This window comes from Homo sapiens, chromosome 17 (genome assembly GCF_000001405.40).
Source record: "Homo sapiens chromosome 17, GRCh38.p14 Primary Assembly".
NCBI lineage: Eukaryota > Metazoa > Chordata > Mammalia > Primates > Hominidae > Homo > Homo sapiens.
In genome coordinates, this window is record NC_000017.11 from 18,772,268 (window position 1) to 18,780,448 (window position 8,181).

The following is an 8,181-nucleotide window of genomic DNA, read 5'->3' on the forward strand; positions in this document are numbered from 1 at the left end:
CCAGCTGCCTACACTACTAGTCTGTTTGGTCATCACCTGGGCACTGTTCCTTTAGTCTAAAGACCAGGTGGGATGGTAACTGCAGTGCATCTTTCGGTGGCCTCCACAGTCCTTTTGTGGACAACCCTGTTGTTTCGGTTCCAGGATGGTGGTCAACACAGAGAGCAATGTTCTCATGTTCCAGTTTGAGCACATAAAGTGGCAGTATGCCGTGGAAAAAACGAAACAAAAGAAGAATAAGGAGAAAGAGGAGGAAAAAGAAGAAAATAGTCTCATGGAAATTCTCTCTAAGTGTAATATTCAGGTTCACAGCCCAAGAGAGTCTGTATCCAGTAAACAAACTGTGATCCAAGAGCTCCTACCAGGCAAACCTCCCAAGTCCCGAGTACTCCTGAAGCCGGCCAAGTTCTCTTCAGGTAAAAAACTGAAATACCAGCAAGTTCAGTGATAACCCACAGAGCAGGTCGGGGTTTGGTGGGGGTGGTGGGAGACGGGGAGGACTGGTTCGTTTGTGGAATATTTTGGCCAGTGGTTTCCTGAGGATATAAATCCTAACCCTCCAGGAAGGTAGGAGCCATTCTCTCTGATCCACTAAACAATTTATCAGCCAGTTAAAGGGAACATTCTGGTTTGCAAAAGCTAGATTTTCTTTCTTTCTTTCTTTTTTTTTTTTTTTTTGAGATGGAGTTTCGCTCTTGTTGCCCAGGCTGGAGTGCAATGGCACAATCTTGGCTCACCGCAACCTCCGCCTCCCAGGTTCAAGCGATTCTCCTGCCTCAGCCTCCTGAGTAGCTGGGATTACAGGCATGCACCACCACGACTGGCTAATTTTGTATTTTTTTTTTAGTAGAGATGGGCTTTCTCCATGTTGATCAGGCTGGTCTCAAACTCCCGACCTCAGGTGATCCTCCCGGCTTGGCTTCCCAAAGTGCTGGGATTACAGGTGTGGGCCACCGTGCCCGGCCTGCAAGAGCTAGATTTTCAAACTTATAAGAACCTTTGCACAGTAGATAAGACTAGCCTTAATACTTACCACTGAAACAAAAAGCAAGCAACCAATACCCCCACCCCCCAAATTCAAAACATATATTACATAACTATTTCTTCAAGACAGAGACAGAAGTTGTTATAAGCAGAAAAATGATCTGTGCAGAATGTATTGTTTTTAGACCTGAGAGATAATGTTTGTAGCTGGAAAATCTTACGTATAAAGCAGGTGTGTGTGTGTTTGTGTGTGTGTATGTAGGTGGGGGTGCAGGCATGGCCAATGCCATTTATAAGACATCCAAATAATACATTATGTGTGGGTTAGAGTAGCAAGACTCCTTCCTTTTACCAGCCCTATATTTGGCATGTGAAATTGGATCCACAGATCTATAGAGAACAATGATAAATCACCCCCAAGCATATCACACTACAAATAGTCAGCTATCTCTTGAGAGGAGGGAACTGAGAGTGTTAGCTAATGCTTAACAGTAGGAAAAGTGGGTGGGAGGGGGAATCAGGATGGGATCTAGGCCTTAGAATTGCCAACCTAAAATAACCAAAAGATTCAGGATCTAGCTAAAAGAGTTTACCCGAGTGCAAAGTTTGAGGGCAGCATCCAGGGACACAGGGGCACCAAAGACTAGTGACCAGTGTTCCTGGAGTGGGGAAAAGTGAAGATCCTTTAAATAGACAAAAACAGAGGTGCTGAACAGAATTCAGTTTTCCATACAAAGGCTAACATACAGATGTAAGACTAGATCGGCTACTATTGATTACACTCTAATGGTTGCTTAGCATTCTGCTGTAAAGAGGTGACAATTACAAGGGGAGTTGCTTAACATTCTGCTGTAAAGAGGTGACAATCACAAGGGGAGTTGCTTAACATTCTGCTGTAAAGAGGTGACAATCACAAGGGTGTCTATCTCCACATCATTTAGTCTTGGTTTCAATGAAGAATAGAGAGTCTGGTTAATGGAAAAGACCTCAGCACAAAGGTCTGGAAGGAATGGTCACGCACCAGAGCAGGAAAACAGCTGCGCTATGTGACTCAGTTTCCAGGGTTTCACTTTTCCCTGTCACATACGTCAGTTTAGAAGGTTGTTACACTCTCTTTACTTTTCACAGACTCCAGGTAACTACTTGGTTTCATACGACAATAAACAATATGGTGTTTGGTAGAAAAATACAGTTAGATGGAAGGGATAAGTTCCAGCGTTTGGTTGCACGGTAGGATGACTACAATTAACAATAATGTATAGCCGGGCGCAGTGACTCATGCCTGTAATCCCAGCACTTTGGGAGGCTGAGGCGGGTGGATCACCTGAGGTCGGGAGTTTGAGACCAGCCTGACAAACATGGAGAAACCCCGTCTCTACTAAAAATACAAAAAAATTAGCCGGTGTGGTGGCGCATGCCTGTAATTCCAGCACTTTGGGAGGCTGAGGCAGGAGAATCACGTGAACCCAGGAGGTGGAGGTTGCGGTGAGCCGAGATCGTGCCATTGCACTCCAGTCTGGGCAACAAGAGCGAAACTGCATCTCAAAAACAAACAAACAAATAAACAAAAAACCAATAATGTATTGTATATTTCAAAATAGCTAGAGGAGAAGATTTGGAATGTTCCCAACACAAAGAGATGATAAATGTTTAAGATGATGGATATCCTAATTATCTTGATCTGATCATTACACATTTTATGCATGTATCAAAATATCACATGTACTCCATAATTATGTATAATTATGTACCCATAAAAAACAAGATAGTGATATTTTGTATAAAAATCAGTCCAATTATCAGCCCCATTATTATTGATTATATTATTTTATGCCCTAATCGAAGTATATAATGACTACAGCTTCTTCCTCAATCTCAATTTAGCAGTGTTAATAGAGGAACTTCAAAGTCAAGGAAAGTCAAAATCACCCCGAAGAGATGGTAAGAAGAGAGTTTATTCTGTTCATAAGGGAACAAGTGGCACGGATGGTGGGCAGGAGAATTTGGAAGCAAAATCCACAGCAGGAGATAAGACAAAAAGTCATACTTAATTCTGAATTAGTGGCAAGATCCAAACTCTTTCTCTCACTCTAGTTTCGTATTGTTTTCCAGCAGGCCACTACCTTTGCTTGTCTTTGAGAAACTGGAATGAATACAATGCCTGGCTTCTCCCAAGAGTGACTGGTTTTCCTTAATTGTCCCTTTTCTGACTTGAGGCCACAGAGGGAGAACCTTTCTAAGGTTTGCGTTTCCAGTTTTTGGCTGACTGCCTGCCTCTGTTCCCTGCCAGCTTCCTCACTTCTTGGACTGTTATGTCATCAATCTGAGAAATGGGCACAATAAAAGAGAGAAGAGGCAGTTGAGGCTGGTTTCAGAGAGAATTTTAAGAGACTTCATTAGGAAGAAGAGAGATTTGGGGCAGGTGCTATATATGTGAGATAAAGAGATAAGGGAGAAAGAGAGATGGGGATGCACCTTTTAAGAAGTGTTGCTAGGATGGGCATAGTGGCTCATGCCTGTAATTCCAGTGCTTTGGGAGACCAAGTTGGGAGGATTCCTTAAGGCCAGGAGTCTGAGGCCAGCCTGGGCCACTTAGCAAGACCCTTGTCTCTACCAAAAATTCAAAAAATTGGCCAGATATGGTAGCACGCACCTCCTAGCTACTCAGGAAGCTGAGGCGGGAGGATCCTTTGAGTCCAGGAGCTTGACGTTACAGTGAGCTATGATTGCACCACTGGGTGACAGTGAGACCTTGCCTCTTAAAGAAAAGAAAAAAAAAAAAAGTGGCCGGGCGCGGTGGCTCACACCTGTAATCCCAGTAGTTTAGGAGGTGGAGATGAGCGGATTGCCTGAGGTGAGGAGGTCGAGACCAGTCTGGCCAACATGGTGAAACCCCATCTCTACTAAAAGTATAAAAAAATTAGCTGGGCAGGGTGGCATGTGCCTGTAATCCCAGCTACCTGGGAGGCTGGGGCAGGGGAATTGCTTGAACCAGAGAGGGGTGGGGGTTGCAGTGAGCTGAGATCGTGCCACTGCAACTCTAGCCTGGGTGACAGAGCAAGATTCCGTTTAAAAAAAAAAAAGTTTCTGGACATCATGACTCATGACTGGGATGTCCCTTTGTTATTTTTTAAGGACATTGGTAAAAATTTAAAATGTCTTTCAAATATTTTTGGCTAGTATAGTAGTGTTTCTTTGGAACAAACTCTGTGCAGAGACTGGTTTGAAGTTGACGGGAAAACAATTATTTTATGAGGGCTGCGCTAACAATGGGCATCCTTGTATATACCTATGTCAGTGTACCTGTACAGGTATACCTGAAGGGTAAAGTCCTACGAGTGAAATTGCTAAGCCAAAGGATAAGTGCATTCAAAAACTAGAAAGATATTGCCAAGGTTGTCCTGAAAAATACTGTATCAATTTACACTCCTACTTGCAATATATGAGAGACCCCACTGCATTTGTGCCAACTCTGGGTGTTAGCTGGCATTTTGTAGTTGCTTGTATAAGTAAAAATGGGGTCCGCATTTTCTTCTAGGTTGACCATTAACAAACTAAATGTCCATCAATGGGCAATGGCTAAGTAATAAAAAAATCTATTGTATGGAATATTATATACAGCTAAAAATTGTATGATGAGGATCTGTATATACTAACTTGGAAAGAGATCCACAATACATTATCATTTGAAAAAAGACAAATTAATAAACAATGAGCTCATCACAATTCCTTTTTTTATAAAAGGAGAAAAATTCTCTTTTTGAGTTTGCAAGGAGAATAGGGAAGATTTTGACATCTTGATTTCACTCAGTTTTTTTTTTTTTTTTTGAGATGGAGTCTCACTCTGTTGCCCAGGCTGGAGTGCAGTGGCGTGATCTCGGCTCACCGCAACCTCTGCCTCCTGAGTTCAAGCGATTCTCCTGCCTCAGCCTCCTCAGTAGCTAGGATTACAGGCGCCTGCCACCACGCCCGGCTAATTTTTTTGTATTTTTAGTACAGACGGGTTTTCTCCATGTTGGTCAGGCTGGTCTCGAACTCCCGACCTCAGGTGATCTACCCACCTAGGCCTCCCAAAGTGCTGGGATTACAGGCATGAGCCACCGCACCCAGCCTGAAGACAGGTTTTATTTTGGGCAACATTCAAGATTACTTGGAGTCAAATTTGATTAATAAGGTAAAGATCAAATTTTGCAACATAATTACTGTTGAAAAATAGTTATGCTACTATAAATTTATAAGATCTGCTTTGTGTGAATCATAAATGAGATGTGAAGGTCATTCCCAACTTCACATTTTCTTTTTTTTTTTTTGAGACTGAGTCTTGCTCTGTCGCCCAGGCTGGAGTGCAGTGGCGCGATCTTGGCTTACTGCAAGCTCTGCCTCCTGGGTTCATGCCATTCTCCTGCCTCAGCCTCCCGAGTAGCTGGGACTACAGGCGCCCGCCGCCATGCCGGGCTAATTTTTTGTATTTTTAGTAGAGACGGGGTTTCACCGTGTTAGCCAGGATGGTCTGGATCTCCTGACCTCGTGATCCACCCTCCTGGGTCTCCCAAAGTGTGGGGATTACAGGCGTGAGCCACCGCGCCCGGCCTCAACTTCACATTTTCAAAAATATGTGTAGCATTGAAATCACATCTGTTGCATTCAAAATATGCTCACTTAGAGGCTAATATACTCTTTACTCAATACTAGCATTTTATTAAAAACTTGTTTTATTGGCCGGCTGCGGTGGCTCATGCCTGTAATCCCAGCACTTTGGGAGGCCGAGGCGGGTGGATCACGAGGTCAGGAGATCGAGGCCATCCTGGCTAACACGGTGAAACCCTGTCTCTACTAAAAAAAATACAAAAAATTAGCCAGGCATGGTGGCGGACGCCTGTAGTCTCAGCTACTTGGGAGGCTGAGGCAGGAGAACGGCGTGAACCCGGAAGGCAGAGCTTGCAGTGAGCAGAGATCATGCCACTGCACTCCAGCCTGGGTGACAGAGCGAGACTCCGTCTCAAAAACAAAAACAAACAAACAAAAAAATTTGTTTTATTAAATTGTTTCTAGTATCAGCATTTCTAATACCACTCAGGGTGCCTGCCTGTATGATGGCATACCTGTTGGGCAACAAAGACCTCAATGTGCTTCGAAGTTTGAATGCCCAAGTACTTAATGCATACGTACTTAATATTTTTCATAGAACGCCGATTTTTTAAAATTTTCTTTTTTTTGAAAAAGCAGATGATGTGGAGAAAGCACAAAAACAAGGACAATTGGAAACTCCTGGAAAACTGCCCAGTCACCCAAAGAAAAAGTCTTGGAAAATCCCTATGTCACCTGACCAATTCCTCCTGACTGTTAGCGCCCTGCAGCACGCCCATAATTCCGGGGAATTTGCCTATCCCTGTAGGCCCCAAACAGAAATTACTGATGTCTGGGGACCTTCAATTTCATACCCAAGGAAGGTCTTGAATTTCAAAGGAAAATCAATCCAACGTGCAGTTGATCGGTTGAGATTGAGCAATCCTCCTATAGATGTGAAACGAACCAGTATTCCCCTTGAAATCCAGAAACTGCAGCCCAACTTGAAGATCTCTTTGCACAGTCCTAGAGTCCAGTCCACCATACCCCAGCCCATGATTATCCGCTCCAGGTTCTCTGGCAGCTTAAAGGGTGGAGACCAAGTGACCAGTTCAATTGAAAGGGCTGTGTGCAGTACGGGTCCCCTGACCAGTATGCAGGTCATTAAACCAAACCGCATGCTAGCTCCACAAGTGGGCACAGCCACCCTGTCTCTTAAGAAAGAACGGCCTCGCATCTATACAGCCCTTGATCCTTTTAGAGTGAACACTGAGTTCGTGCTGTTGACCGTGAAGGAGGAGAAGGAGCACCAGGAAGCCAAGATGAAGGAATATCAGGCCAGGGAGTCCACTGGAGTGGTTGATCCAGGAAAAGTCAGCAAAGCTGCATGGATCAGGAAGATCAAAGGCCTGCCTATTGATAATTTCACGAAGCAAGGGAAAACAGCGGCCCCTGAACTTGGACAAAATGTATTTATCTAAACCAGCCTTGGGAAATTACAATGTTTTACAATAAACAGAAAGCCAAGCGGATGTTGCTATTTGGCCTTTTTTTTTTTTTTTTTGACTGTTTCTTCCTGGTAATTAATGTGGGAACTCCCAGTTATCTTCCTCTGAGCCAAATATTTGATATCATCAAAATAAGAAAACAGAAGGAGGTTGGGCGAGATTAGCATCTGTAGTCCCACTGAAAACAATTTAGTGAGCATTAGGAAAGCCCAGTTTCGTTGATGGGGGATGGGGAGATGATCACTGGAAATTAGATACCATTCATCACTACCAATTTAGTGCTATTAGTTCTTCTGGCAAATGAAGTTATGGGATTATATCAGGGTCATGCATTGGTGTTTTCTGGTATTTTTGCACAGAAGCCTGATAAAACCCATTAAGAATTTAAAAGGGGAAGCCCTCAGTGGGGTGGACCTGTTGCATTTGACAACATTGAGCTTTTCCTTCTCAGGGCTAACTCCTAAGGAAGAGAATTAGCATATTTATCCTCTGTACAAAGAGGGCCAGTAACATCAAGTGCATTGAGGTTTCTGCTTAAACCTTTGGACTATGGTGCAGGGACCAGGTAATTTAGAAGAGTGCAGCCCACTACAAGAGCTATGGCCCATTAGAAAGTTCAAGCCTTGACCAGGTGCGGTGGCTCACGCCTGTAGTCCCAGCACTTTGGGAGACTGAGGCGGGTGGCTCACCTGAGATCAGGAGTTTGATACCAGCCTGACCATCGTGGTGAAACCTCGTTTCTACTAAAAATACAAAATTAGCTTTAAAAATTAGCTATTAAAAATTAAAAGACGATAATGAATTCAAACACAATGTCTTAAAAAACCAAAAACTACGAAAAACAACACAAAACTCCACAGCACTGAGTGGACCACTGAAAACCTGCCATGGGCAGGCTGGACGTACAGGCCCCAAATTTGTTAGCTTTTCATCTCCAAGGGCACGAATGCAATTGTGCTGCCGAAATGTCTTGCCTTTAGAAACGCGTGTGTGTGTTTTCCCCCTTTCATTATTAGAATATCAGGTTTTAAATGGCACTGGCAATCAGCCACGTAAAATTTGTGATTTTAATAGAATCCCTTCAATTAAGGACACGTGCAAATACCACTATGCCAACAGCAGT

General features: G+C 43.6%; 1 protein-coding gene across 19 annotated transcripts in view; it reads left to right on the plus strand.

Annotated features, from left to right (window-relative positions):
- Positions 1-7,082, plus strand: part of FBXW10 (F-box and WD repeat domain containing 10) — a 35,296-nt gene extending 28,214 nt beyond the window's left edge. For 7 of the 19 annotated variants that reach the window (XM_047435121.1, XM_047435130.1, XM_047435127.1 and 4 more), the window contains 3 exons: positions 145-416; positions 2,869-2,925; positions 6,208-7,082. In XM_047435121.1, coding sequence (XP_047291077.1) covers positions 145-416; positions 2,869-2,925; positions 6,208-7,031 — 1,153 coding nt within the window. In that variant the 3' untranslated portion in view covers positions 7,032-7,082. Of the gene's footprint in view, positions 1-144; positions 417-2,868; positions 2,926-3,096; positions 3,226-6,207 lie in introns of those variants that run through there. The other 12 variants (XM_047435125.1, NM_001411059.1, XM_047435131.1 and 9 more) reach the window with 9 other exon arrangements.
- The last annotated feature ends 1,099 nt before the right edge of the window (positions 7,083-8,181 follow it).